General features: G+C 39.7%; 1 protein-coding gene and 1 long non-coding RNA gene across 24 annotated transcripts in view; one reads left to right on the plus strand and one right to left on the minus strand.

The window, feature by feature from the left end:
• AIG1 (androgen induced 1) overlaps positions 1-14,143 on the plus strand; it is a 284,671-nt gene that overhangs the window by 55,669 nt on the left and 214,859 nt on the right. Inside the window, exon 1 of one of the 23 annotated variants that reach the window (NM_001366358.1) lies at positions 11,258-11,423. The exons of the other annotated variants lie outside the window; for them this stretch is intronic. The gene's annotated coding sequence lies outside the window, so the exon portion shown is untranslated. Of the gene's footprint in view, positions 1-11,257; positions 11,424-14,143 lie in introns of those variants that run through there. 23 annotated transcript variants of the gene reach the window in all.
• The window catches only part of LOC124901416 (uncharacterized), a 49,698-nt gene continuing 36,064 nt past the window's right edge, over positions 510-14,143 (minus strand). The window contains exons 3-4 of the long non-coding RNA XR_007059794.1: positions 4,595-4,693; positions 510-978 (exon numbers count right to left, since the gene is read on the minus strand). This is a non-coding gene — a long non-coding RNA (uncharacterized LOC124901416). The remainder of the gene's footprint in view (positions 979-4,594; positions 4,694-14,143) is intronic.

The raw sequence follows: 14,143 nt of genomic DNA on the forward strand, positions 1-14,143 counted from the left end.
CTGGCTCGTGGAGTTGTTACGAAGAGTAGATGAGAGGGGTGACTAAAGTGCCCAGCACAGAGCCTGGTGCCCAGTCAGCATCCAAGTAGGGTTTGTTGTTGCCTTACTTGTTTTTTATACTTTATTATACATCGTGAGCATTTTCTCAAGTTGCTAACCATTATTCAAAACCATGATGTCTCATGGATATGTAACAACCCACTTTTCTCTTAAGATTTAAATAATGTCATTTTGGTCAGTTTTGCAATTTCCAGATTGGCAATAACATAAATTCCACTGAACTAAACATTCTTATGCAGAAGTCTTTGTGACCAAGTAAGATACATTTCTAAAATAGAATGATTGGTCAAAATGTATACATATTTTAAAGGCTTTCATTTTCATTCATATGTCCAAATTCCATCCCTGAAAGATTGTAGCCATTTGAAAGTACCCCTTTCTCTTGCCATGTTTAAAGAAGAACTAAGGAAATGTAAAAGCATGTGGCAAAAATAATAGAAGGCTGGAAGTTTTAGAGCCAGAATATTTGCATTTATTTATTACTTATACCATGGTATTTATTTATACCAGGGAGGGAAGATAAATAAATTCCTATAATTTCTCATATTTAAAAGGAGCTTTTGTGTGATAAAGTAAAAGCACTGCATTGACTTTAAGCAGCCTGTTTCTTATATTGACTGATACAGGATTAAACACCAGCTTGAGGAAGTCACTCTACCTCTCATAGTTACAGACTCACAATTTGCAAAACGGTGATATCATACGTATACTATAGGACTTTTGTGGCAGTTAAATAATATTCTGCATGAGAAGCACCAAGCAAAGGTCTTGGCACATAGTAAGCACCTGTAGTTGATCACAGGCTTATTGACCATGAGTATCATTTTTGCTGCAGAGCCAGCCTTCAGCTTTCCTCGCTTTATTGCATCTGTAGATTCATAAAGTAGTAGAGTTCCCGACAGGTGTACTGGCTGTGTCCTGAATGAGGAGAGGGCAGAAATCCATGACATTTTTCAGCTGTAATGTCAACACACTTGATGGTCCTGGTTAGCATTAACATGACATAGTTTTATGACTTGACTTAGTGCACATCTAGCCCCTGCTTTGTGTCAGACACTGAATCAAGAGTTGGTGATACAGGAATGAATAAAAGGTAATCTTTGTCCTCGAAGGGCTCATAATCTAGACAGGAAGTGTTTACCATCTTTTCTGGGTGAAATTCTTCTTCTGTTTATACTTATTGAACATTCATTTGTGCTGTTCCCGTAAGACATGCACTGGTAGGTATTTGGAGGTGAAAGTAAGTAATGATAAAGCCAGACTGTGCCCCTAAGATGTTTAGAATGTGGTGGGTAGTTCAGTTAATTGGCATGCTGTGGTAGGAAAATAATGGGCTTTCAGTCAGAAGACCTTAGTTCATATTCAGGCCTCAAAACATACTTGTGGAATGATGGGTTGGGCAGGGAAGGCCCTTGTGTTCTAAGCAAGAAAATGAAAAGAGTTAAAATCCAGTTATTCATTCATCCATTTGGCAAGTATTTATTGAGTACCTGGGATTCAGCAGGGAATAAAATATACAAAAATCCCTGCCCTCATGGAGCATAGATTCAGTGGGGGTGACGAAGGATGTAAAAACTGCTGCCATGAAATTTTTAAAAGGCAGTGAAGGAAGCTATGGAGAATTGGGGAGGAGAGGTGGCATGTTTACAGAGAGTGGCAGGAGAGGCCTATTTTGCCAAATCCCTTTTTAAGCCAATGGGGATGGCACCAGGTTCAAGAGGCAGAAGAGACCCAGAGCCAGCACACGAGATGGGGTTTTATTGGGGAACTTTCATACTGGGGAGAGAGTCTAGTAGTGGTGGGATGGACAGGAGAACCACCTTACATACAGTCCAGGGGCGGCAAGTGGGCTGGACAGGAAAACCACAATGGCTTGTGAAAGGCATCCAGTTTATATAGCATTTTCACTTAACACCCTCTCCATAATGACCTCCACCTGGCAACCTTCATGCAATCCCAAATCGGGGCCTTGATTCCATGGGCAGCCTGTGTTGCATAGGACAGTATGGGGGCTCAGATGTTCCTCATCGACAAGGAACGAATCTCTGTTTCGCCATTCCCGGATTCCCTAGCTCAGAACACACATTCAGTGTGTCTGCCGTACAGGGTCTTTCTCAGGGTGTGCTTAAGTTATTGCTGTCAGGTGCCTTTAACATACAGGGCCTCATTACAAACTAACATTTGAATGAAGAGCTGGAGGAAGTGAGGGTGCAGTTCAAAGAGACAGCCCCAAACCCAGGAGACCAGTGGCACTGGAGCAGAGCGTGTATGGGGTGCAGTTAGGGGGAAGTGGCAGTGGCAGGAGGCAGGGAAGGGCCTGTGGGACATGTTGATAAGGACTTTGGCTTTTACTGGGCATAAGATAGGAAGCCTTTGAAGGAGTGTGAACAGAGTGATGGAAGGATGTTCCCACAACCCAGGGAGATGTGGACCAATGAGATAGCAGTAGATGTGGTGCACAGGGTCAGATTATGGAGGTTATTTTTAAAGATAGAGCCAACAGGATTTGCTAAAGAATGGCATTAGCAGGGTTTAGAGCTGAGTTACTATGAAGCCTGAGTGGCCATCCATTGAGATGAGGATGACGGTGGAAGAAGCAGATTGTCGGGGAGAGCTCAAGGAGTTCAGATTTGCACCAGTTAAGTTTGAGATGCCTGTCTGACTTTCAAATGCAGAAGTCTGGCTAACTGGAGTTCAAGGGAGAGGTCCTGGCTGAGGACGAAAATACCAGGATCATTAACATAGAGGCAGTATCTAAAGTCAAGAGTCGATCAGATCTCTAAGGTAGTGATTGCAGCTGCAAAAGAGAAGAGCTCCAACGACTGAGCATTGTGGTAAACTATCATGTAGATAGTAGTTATAACTATTATGCACTTCTGGGAAAATGTGGTACCTCATGAGGTACCTTCACTCTGTTCACTGTGGCCGCCTCCAAAAACATTGTGTTTGTTTACTAAATGCTGTCTTCATGACATGAAAAATTGAAGGTTTTTTCCTATCAGGGATTGGATTGATTCAGGCACAAAGATAATTTGGGCACCACTGGAGTTGGGCATAGGCAGTTCTGTGCAGGATGCTTCACAATAGTATTTCAACAGATATAGTGATCTCGGCTTCTGATTTTGTTACATAAAAACACATTGATTCAGAAAAGGACAAAAGCAATGTAGGTCCACAAAGATTAAAACATCACTAGGCCGGGTGCAGTGGCTCACGCCCGGTGAGCACATCATGCCCGGTGAGCACATCATGCCCGGTGATGTAATCCCAGCACTTTGGGAGGCCAAGGCAGTCAGATCATGAGGTCAGGAGATCGAGAGCATCCTGGCCAACATGGTGAAACCCTGTCTCTACCAAAATACAAAAAATTAGCCGAGTCTGGTGGCAGGTGCCTGTAGTCCCAGCTACTCGAGAGGCTGAGGCAGGGGTATTGCTTGAACCCAGGAGGCAGAGGTTGCAGTGAGCTGAGATCGTGCCACTGCACTCCAGCCTGGCAACAGAGCGAGACTCCGTCTCAAAAAAAAAAAAAAAATCACTAAAATGGATGTGTACATTATGTACAGCATGCTTTCAACATTAAGGTAAAAAAAAATACCGAAAGATTGGACTTAAGACGGGCCAGTTTTTCTAGGTTAAAGATGCCTTTCAGAAAAATGTTTGTTCAGCCATGCTTTAGCAATCACTTATGTGTAGAGAACTTTTCCACGTCTCCTGTATTTATTCAATCAACAGGAATTAGCTTAGCAGCATAACCCAAAGACTTATCATTTATGTTGCCTTATGACTGATAGTGCTAATAAGTAACTAAGTCCTATGATCCTATTAAGAATTTTACAACAAAGAGGGGCTTGAGTGACCTAAATAAAAATCAGTGCCAAAAAATTCCTATATGGAACTTCTGGAGAGTGTCCCAAAGAAAGAATTTTCTTTTTTTTTTTTTTTGTCTTTTTGAGACAGGGTCTTATTCTGTCACCCAGGCTGGAGTACAGTGGTATGATCATGGCTCACTGCAACCTCGACCTCCTGGGCTCAATTGATCCTCCTGCTTCAGGCTCCTGAGTAGCTGGTACTACAAGTGTGCACCATTGCATCCAACTAGTTTTTCTATTTTTTGTAGAGACAGAATTTCATCATGTTGCCCAGGCTGGTCTCGAACTTCTAGGCCCAAGGGATCCACCCTCCTTGGCCTCCCAAAGAGCAAAAGAATTTTCAAAGTACATAGCGTGCTTATCACCTGCTGACAAATTTCTCAGATCATGTCTGGGAGCACGCTGGCTATGTGGGGATTGTAGATTTTTGCCTATAAATGCTCAATTTAAGTATCAAACACTCCATAAACCTTGCGGTGCATCTCTTTAGAGATTTTTAAAGGCTCTACAATTCAAAAGTATTGTAATAATTTTCAAAGTATGCCACATTCTCAAGAGGTGTCCATCTATGGGGTGATACTTGGGTAGGGGGAATAAAGTCCACTTCTGAATTGTGGGTAATAAACACAAGTCCAAAAGTGCACAGGCAGGCAGCTTGTACTTACCTTAACAGATGCATACTTTGGAAGTGAACAGCATTGAAGCATTAGGGCTTTCTACACTCCAGTGGCAGCGTGGGCCTTACAAAACTGTAGGGCCTTCACCTAAGACAAAGATAACACTTTTGTGTTTGCAGTAACTCATGGACACTTTGGACTTAGTTTCTAAGGGGCTTATCCCTTCTCCACTCAGTGTTTCTGGACTTCTTCCTGGAGTAAGGACCTTGGGAAGAAGCCTTCGTTCCTGTCTGTAACCCCTATTTAGTGCACTGATTGGGGTGCTTAGCACAATCACACATAACAAAGGAAAATAATGCCACTAAAAAGAAAGATTGTTCTGACTCAATATTTGAGAAAATTTCATTCAAGATATTTTGAAGTCACAGAAGAGAAGTTGGACTTTGTATATTTACCAAAACAATTTGTCCTGGGCTCAGTGTTGGTAATATTAATATGTCCTTTTTTATTTTTATTTTTGAGATGGAGTTTCGCTCTTGTTGCCCAGGTTGGAGTGCAATGGCATGATCTTGGCTCACCACAACCTCTGCCTCCTGGGTTCAAGCAATTCTCCTGCCTCAGCCTCCCGAGTAGCTGGGATTGCAGGCATGTGCCAGCAATGCCTGGCTAATTTTTTTTGTATTTTTAGCAGAGATGGGGTCTCTCCATATTGGTCAGGCTGATCTCGAACTCCCGATCTCAGGTGATCTGCCTGCCTTGGCCTCCCAAAGTGCTGGGATTACAGGTGTGAGCCACCACACCCAGCCCAATATTTCCTTTTTTAAAATAACTGAGGCAGATGTTGTGGGTATTACATATAAACTTCCTCATAGACAATCTGTAAGTTGGCAGAATTTGATGAACACCTTTGGATAATGTATTAGTCCATTCTCACGCTGCTAATAAAGACATACCTGAGACTGGGTAATTTATAAAGAAAAAGAGGTTTAATGGACTCACAGATTCACATGGCTGGGGAGGCCTCACATTCATGATGGAAGGTGAAGGAGGAGCAAAGGCATGTCTTACATAGAGGCAGGGAAGAGAGTGTGTGCAGGGGAACTCCCCTTTATAAAACCATCCGATCTCATGAGACTTATTCACTATCACGAGAACAGCATGGGAAAACCTGCCTCCATGATTCAATTACGTTCCACCAGGTCCCTGTCATAACACGCGGGGATTATGGGAACTAAAATTCAAGATGAGGTTTGGGTGGGGACACACAGCCAAACCATATTAGATAATATTTTCAGTTCAGCTCTGGGATTCACTGTCAATTATGGCAGAAAAGATGGATAGAGTTGTGTTGGGAGCAGGCCCTCCATAAACTGGCCCCAAAACTGGCCATAAACAAAATCTCTGCAGCACTGTGACATGTTCGTGATGGCCGTGATGCCCATGCTGGAAGGTTGTGGGTTTACTGGAATGAGGGCAAGGAACACCTGGCCCACCCAGGGCGGAAAACCGCTTAAAGGCATTCTTAATCCACAAACAATAGCATGAGCAATCTGTGCCTTAAGGACATGCTCCTGCTGCAGATAACTAGCCCAACCCATCCTTTTATTTCGGCCCATCCCTTTGTTTCCCATAAGGAATACTTTTAGTTAATCTATAATTGATTAAAACAATGCTTATCACTGGCTTGCTGTCAATAAATACATGGGTAAATCTCTGTTTGAGGCTCTCTGCTTTGAAGGCTGTGAGACCCCTGATTTCCCATTCCACACCTCTGTATTTCTGTGTGTGTGTCTTTAATTCCTCTAGCGCTGCTGGGTTAGGGTCTTCCCGACCAAGCTGGTCTCAGCAGAGTTGCTCTTGTTTGCCCAGTATGTCTTCAAGTATGTGATTTCTTCCAGCATTTACCAGTTTGAATCATCATCTCTCAGGTGCTGCTCTCTGATCAAGTTGAACATATCATGTAATATACATATATTTTTCAAAGTGCCTGAGCATACCACAACTTTACATTACATAATCCTTTTTTCCCAAAGATCATTTATCTTCCTTTCCCTTACTTCCCTTCCTCCTTTCCTTCCATCTATCCTTTCTTGTTTATCTACAGACAGAATTGCCACAAAGATGTCACTGTTAGCTATTTGGAGAAGCTATTAAAACCATTTGCTAGGAGCAATTCCAGTGTGTGTCTGGTTAGCAACCAGGGCTTTCTCTGACAACTGGTAGAAGGGTCCAGTTGTGCATGTCTTAACCATTCATAAACCATAGGTATTTTATTTTCACTAGTAAAACTGTGTGATAATTATTTCAAATAATGTTATTGTTAATGACTGATTTTTAAAACACTTCTCAGGAAAATATTACTTGGATTCACTTAGAAATTTATAAACATCTTTTCACTAAATGTAATATATCATACCAAGTTTTATGTCAACTTGTTTTTCCTCGCTATCTTTAAAAGTTAGTATAAATTTAGTAAGCTTCCTAATGTAAAATTTAATATACTTCCTGATTTCTAACAAAGCACAGTTTAGTTTTGTTTATGGTATTCTGGTGAAAAAATTATTGATAGTTTTAAAATTAGTGTACCTTATAAAGCAGCATAAATTATGTATTTTCTTTGTTCTGAGTTCTTAGAGCTCTTAGTGCTATTTCTTCCTGATTTTAGATTTGTAAATTTTGTTTGACTTTTTGATGTGTGGGCATTGAATTAGTTTCTCTTAGGAGAAGTTTCCAGATGAGTACTGCTTTTAGAAAAAGAAACATATATTTTTATTAATACCTGTTGGAACTTCTCTGGAAGGTTTTGGATTTGTTTTCTTTCTTCTGTCTACTACAAAAGTGATGAGACTAGCCTTATCCTTTCATGGAGTGCTTTCATCAAAAAAATGTTTGTTGTTCTGTCCATGTACAACTTTGACTATTGATGGTTCTATTTATTAGAATTTAAACATATACTTTGTATGTTTGTAAGAATAGAAAGGTAAAAAAAAATCAAAAGGATATGCATCACTTTAATGTAACTCAACAGAAAAAATGCCATTGTTTATATTTCTGTTGATGCAAGATACTCCATTACTATTCACTGTTTTATAAACATACAGTTTATATTAATAATTGTGTACATAGTTGATAGATTTATAAAATCTCTAATTTTTAGAACATATGTTTCTTTCTATTCGATTCTAATTTCTCTTAACTATTTTCTTGCCCTACAATTTACAGTAACATAATGGGTACATGAGATTAGTTCTTCATAGTGTTTTTTTATCTCCTCAAATCCACTGAGTTTTATCTCATCCACCTGGGAGCTTACTACCATGGCCACCCCTGGATTTCACTGTCATTGAGAACAGCTTGACCTTTAAAACCCCCTACTGGCACCACAGATTCCCATCTTTTAGTTTGTTCCCTCCCACCATACCTGTGATCTACCCAAGCACCCTTGTTTTCTCTCCCTCCTGACTCCATGTTTTTCTTTAATCATTCTAAGCCCTATGATCTATCTCTAATTATTCATCTCCTGATACCCTCAGTGCCCCAGTGTCTTGTTGAGCTTCCTTACAAACCCTCAGACCCATTAATTCCCATTGGCATGTCCTATAACTATGGCACTGGGCACTGTTGAAAAAACAATCCTGTAACAGGTGGAAATATACTATTATGGCATCCTTCCTTATGGGGCCCTCCGCATTTCCTGGCTGTCCTTCTACCAGTCCCAAGTCAGGTCCCCTCCCACTCCACTCAGCTGCCTTCACTGCTATATTAATTCTGTAATTGGTAAATATGCATTAATACTACATCCCAGATGTGTGCTAAGCTCTAGGGATATGATGTTGAAATAAAAACTCTACCCACATAGTCTGCAAGAGAGTCAGACACTTATAAAGTAGCAACACTAATGATGATTTCATTACACTTGAATCAAGCAGTGAAAAACAAAATGTTGCCTGAGAATAGATTGAGATAGAGTCAGGCAGACTCTAACTTGGCTATGTGCAGGCTTTTCTTACTATTATTGCCTTACTTTTCCTTATTGTTTACTATATGTGGATTCCTGGGTTAATATTGTTGTTTCTTTCATTTCTTTTCAAAATTTATTTAAATGACATTATACTTTTTCAGTCATTTATATCTTGCTTTTATTTTTCAACATTATGCCCGTGCAGTTCATCCATGTTGATACATGTTACTTTAGGCAGTTTGTTTTCCCTGCTGTATATATATTTTTTAATATTTCTATTTATTTATCTATGGTTGAGTCTGTACATATTTGGGCTACTTTCTATTTTTTGTTATTCTTTATAGAATTCTGATATGAGCAGGAAAGATGTGATAAAGATTGGTTAATTTTCAATATACAGTTTAAAGTTACCTTCAGCCATTCACTGTAGCCTTCTTTATCTAACATAAGCATCACACATTACTAATAAATTAGCCCACTTTGAATGTTCTACCATATTTAAAACAATAAGATAATGTCTTCATAGGTTTTCCTGATCTACTTTCTTTGGAAGAGGATTGAAAATAATTAAATGTCCAAAGTCAGAAAGACAGAACTCAGACTGCCAGTCTGAATAATTTAAAAGCAAATGTTTTAAAATGATTCTTCTGCAGTTCATAAGAAGAACTGAAATAGTGTCAGCAATGCTACTAAAAATCAACAAAGTCATGGTGAATTACATGCTATCATATATAACATCTTTCAGTTCCAAATCACCCTTCAACACCTTCTGTTCCTTAGCAGACTGGATTTTATGAGCATTTCTCCTTCACAGAAAGGCCGATGTTGAGCTTTCTCAGTAAAGAGCGCTGAAGGGCCATTGCAGGAGGAAGGGCCTCTCTTACTGTTTTCAGCTGCTGCCCCACTCATCAGTGGTGTAGGTGTAAGGACATCCAGTGTTGCTCTGCCCCAGCCACAGGCAAGGGAATGTGCAGTCCCTCAGTGACTTCACAGCCCCAGCCTGTTCCGGTGACCACTTTCCTGCAGCCCTCCCAACGAGGACACTACATGCTCCAGGTCTCCTGCCCACGGTGGACCGTGAACTCCTTCTGTGCACCTGCTCATCGGTGGTGGCTCACTTGCCCCTGGGAAGGCTGCTTCCTGCTTGCCCAGCTGCTGTGGCTCTTCCAGCAGGCTGCAAACACACCTTTTCCAGTGAGGTCTTGTATTAGTCTGTTCTCACACTGCTATGAAGAAATACCCGAGGGTAATTTACAAAGGATAGAGGTTTAATTGACTCACAGTTCCATGTTGCTGGGGAGGTCTCAGGAAACTTACAATCATGGTGGAAGGCAAAGGAGAAGCAGGTACCTTCTTTACAGGGTGGCAGGACAGGAGTGGGTGCAAGTGGGGGAATGCCAGATGCTTATAAAACCATCAGATCTCATGAGACTCACTCACTATCACAAGAACAGCATGTAGAAACCACCCCCATGATCCAATTACCTCCACCTGGTCCTGCCCTTGACATATGGGGATTATGGGGATTACAATTCAAGGTGAGATTTTGGGTGGGGACACAGCCAAACCATATCAGGTCTGAAGCCCATCTTTGGGGAGGACGTCCTTTTCCAAGTTTTGTTTTTTTGGGGTACTCTTCCTGAGCTCCAGGGTACCTTTTATACTTTATATTTCATTTAGGTTTCAGAGTTATCTAGCTCTTTAATGATATTTTTAGCAGTTAAATTATCTTCTGTTGAAGAAAATTGTTACCATGAATAAAAATTTAGTGGGACAAAATATTTTACAAAGTTAGAAAATTTACTGCACTTCAGAACATGATCAAAGATGCAACATCTTTTTTCCCCCAGTAATTGCTTATCACTATTATTGTGCTTAAATCTAAATGTCATATACTTAGCAAAAGGAGATACTGCTAAGTTAGAGGTTAGGCACTTAAAAGCATATTCACCTTTGTAGCAGAGTGCATACTGGTTTCATAGTGTGCCTTTCTGCATTAGTAGTTTACTAAGTGCTTTGTACATAGCAATCAATAATTATTTGTTAAAAAAATCAATGGTATATTTAATTCAGTGTTCAAAAAGTTCATGCTAATATTAACTATGTAAAAATCTTTAAGCTTGTAAGATTTTTGAGTAGCTCATAGAGTCAGCATCTGCTCCACCCGGGTAGCTGAGGAAGCTCAGTCAGAACACCCTGGGGGGGAATTTTCTATCATAATTTGCAGATTAGAATGGAGTCTCTGGGGAGGTCCCTGCTGTGTGTTTATCCAGCAATTGAGGGAACATGGCGTGACTGTACCCATTACTGTGTGAAGAATATCCAAATGCCTTCTTTAGACGGTTGTTGTTCTTGCTACTTATATATTAAAAGCAATTATGTGATATTGTAATGAATTATGTTGACAAGCTTTCATTCCCAAAGCTGCTTATCTATGTACATTATTTCTGACTGGAAAACTTATGTTTTTTCCTGCCCGTTTGAATGAATTGCTTGCCACTGGTGACTTATGGCCTGTTTCATCGATTTTCAGTAATGAGATGGAGCAGTATGAGGTAAATATCTATGCACAAAAGCAGGGATTCTAAATCACATTCTGCAAACCACACATTTGATGGTGCAGTTAGCCCATCTCCTCAAAAATGTTTGTGGTGAAGTTTCCTTGAAAAAGCTTGGGCTTAAAGCATGTCACTTAGATGACAGATTTAGAAAGAATTTCGGTCATTACAGTGAGAAGTCCTCTTTGGCTCAGTCAGGCTAACCCGCTCCAAGGGTAGGAGAGGATAATTCACCAGGCGGTGCATCTAATGGACATCGTCTCTGGATGAGGGAGGTAGAGAGAGCCTGTGGTTCTTTTAAATGCATTGATTTCTCTACGGAGTAGCATTCAAATATGTAACTGATCATGGACTCCAGGTAAGTGATGATGGACTCCCCTGGTTGTAGAATTGCTACCGGGTGTTCAGATGTCTCAGGCAAGGAAAGCAGTGAAAACAGAGGCAAAGGAAACCCTTGTGGGATTCACTCATCTGGTTTCATACTGAGTCACTGTCTCACGGGGATGAAGTACCGTTGGAGTTCACTCTTGATAACAGGGAGAAAGAATTATGCGCTGTTAAAAAGAAAGATGTCTGTGGAAAGCGGGGGATCCCTTGAAGATGGTGTTTTATAGAACTGCTATTTTATGGCTCTTATATCCTTTCCATGCATTATTTAACTTCTTTTAGTCTTTGCTGAACATGGATACTGCCTAGGTTGGTTTCCAGCAAGAACTGCATTGAAAGTTTGATGAACTGAAAACAAAATAACTTTTTATGCTATAAAGTACCTCATGATATGTGACTGTAGGTGAAATACAGGAAGGTCTCAAGCTCACACCATTTCTCTGAATGTGCTACTTTCATTTCTGCATATGACAAACTACTCTCTCTTTTATGTGTATATAACTATGTATGTTTTATATGTACATATCATATATATCATATATATCTAGATAGATATATATAGTCCCTACTTGTGCTCCCCTACTCGGGACTATAGTACCTATATAGTTGGTACTATATATTCGGTACTATATAGATACTATAGTCCCAAGTAGGGGAGAAGAAGTAGGGAGATCTACAGAGTAATATCTATCTATCTAGACATATGTGACTTTTATAGAGAGATTTTATATGTAGATAGACTATTCCTCTCTGGATTACATATAAATTTATTAAATGTCACATAATACTTTATGTTCTCTAGTTAGAAAAGAGACCAGGTCGATTTTTCATTTCTTCCTTATCATTTCCCCTTTAATTAATGGTTTTATCCTCATATGGGGACTCTTCCAGGCCTTTCTTTATGACACCAATAAATCTCACTGCCTCTTTCCCATTTGTTCTCTCCACAGTTTTCCTTCATTCCATGATCCATGTCATTCCAGTTTCCATTGCTGCCCTTCTCAGCATTCCGTCTTCTTGTTTCTTCTGTCTGCTGTGCCTAAAATTAACTTGAAAACATGAACCATCTTCAAGACAAATCTATGGTGTTCTTTACATTAATTTTATAAAAGTACACCATAATCAAAATGTGGAACACCTTGACTACCAGTCACTGGGGATATGGCCAAAGGTCAAGACAAATATACTCTGGCCTTTTAAAATTCATACAAATAATGATTCCATTTTTATTTAAAATGCTGCTTTTCTTATTTGATTAATTCTTGTGTTTTGCCTGAGTTTAGTCAATTATGTAGAAATGTACAAATTAGCAACTAATTAAGGACATAACTTGATATTGTTTTTTGGTGCTGACCTTTCTTGTTTTTTTTTTGAGACAGAGTCTTGCTGTATCATCAAGGCTGGAGTGCAGTGGTACAATCTTGGCTCACTACAGCCTTCACCTCCCATGTTCAAGTGATTCTTATGCCTCAGCCTCCCAAGTAGCTGAGATTACAGGCATGCACCACCACGCCCAGCTACCTTTTGTATTTTTAGTAGAGATGGAGTTTTACCATGTTGGCCAGGCTGGTCTGGAACTCCTGACCTCAAGTGATCCACCTGCCTTGGCCTCCAAAAATGCTGGGATTACAGGCATGAGCCACCACATCCAGCCATAATTAAATTTAGTTGAGGATATTGAAGATGATGTAATGGGATGAAATAAAAGCAATTCTGGATAAATTATATATGTTTTAGGAATAAATGGTAGAAGTCTAATGAATTTGTCCTATATTACAAACAGGAGTGTAATAGTTTAGTGCATTCCAGAGAAGAAAAATAATAGACTATTACATTAATTTAATCAAAACCAATTGTGCATTTCAAAAAAGATAAAGACATGAATGGAATTTGAGTATACTTCCATACTTGCGAAAATGAATTTAAAATCTAACATGACTCAGTAAATCAGCTATGATTTCCTGACAGGGAGAGTTGGGGAGGTGTAGAAAAAAGATGGAGAAGGAATTAAACAGTAGAGAAGATTTTAGAGAAATGAATACTGAGTGACTCCAAAGTAATCCTGGGATTTTTGTTGTTGTTGTTCTGATCTATTCCTATTTATATTTCTTGGAGAGACATGATACATTTGACCACTTCATTTCAGCATGCAACGTAAAATAATAAGAGCAACTAGCCTGCTAAGAACCCAAAGCCAGATGGTGTATATGTGTGTCATGCTGAGTTGATGGTTTGGAAGTGCCAGCTCTGCAGAATGGCTGGAGTCGAATAATACTTCAAGGTAATCCTGCTTAAGATCCACTTGTGCATCTCCATATAACTTTTACATTTTTAACAGTTAAGTTAATGAATTTTAAGTTGCAGTGGTCAGCAGGATTCATGTAGGCAACAGAAAAACACACATAAAATGTCTGTAATGGGATTTGTTAACTGTCAGTTCAAATCAAACTCTTATAAACTGACAGAAACCTCAAGTGTTTTAATAGTATTGGCAAACTGCTTCTTAAATAAGCAAATAGCCAAAAGTGAGTTTATGCTTCTTTCCTGAGAAGGATAGACTGTTTCATCATTTTTAGAGATTATCTTTTGAGGACTAACCAGTGTGAGTTAAAGAAATAGTAGCATAACCCAAACATGTCCTCTTTGTCTCCTTGTGTTTAGAAAATAGGAAAAAATGGCTGGGCGCGGTGG

This window comes from Homo sapiens, chromosome 6 (assembly GCF_000001405.40).
Source record: "Homo sapiens chromosome 6, GRCh38.p14 Primary Assembly".
Lineage (NCBI taxonomy): Eukaryota > Metazoa > Chordata > Mammalia > Primates > Hominidae > Homo > Homo sapiens.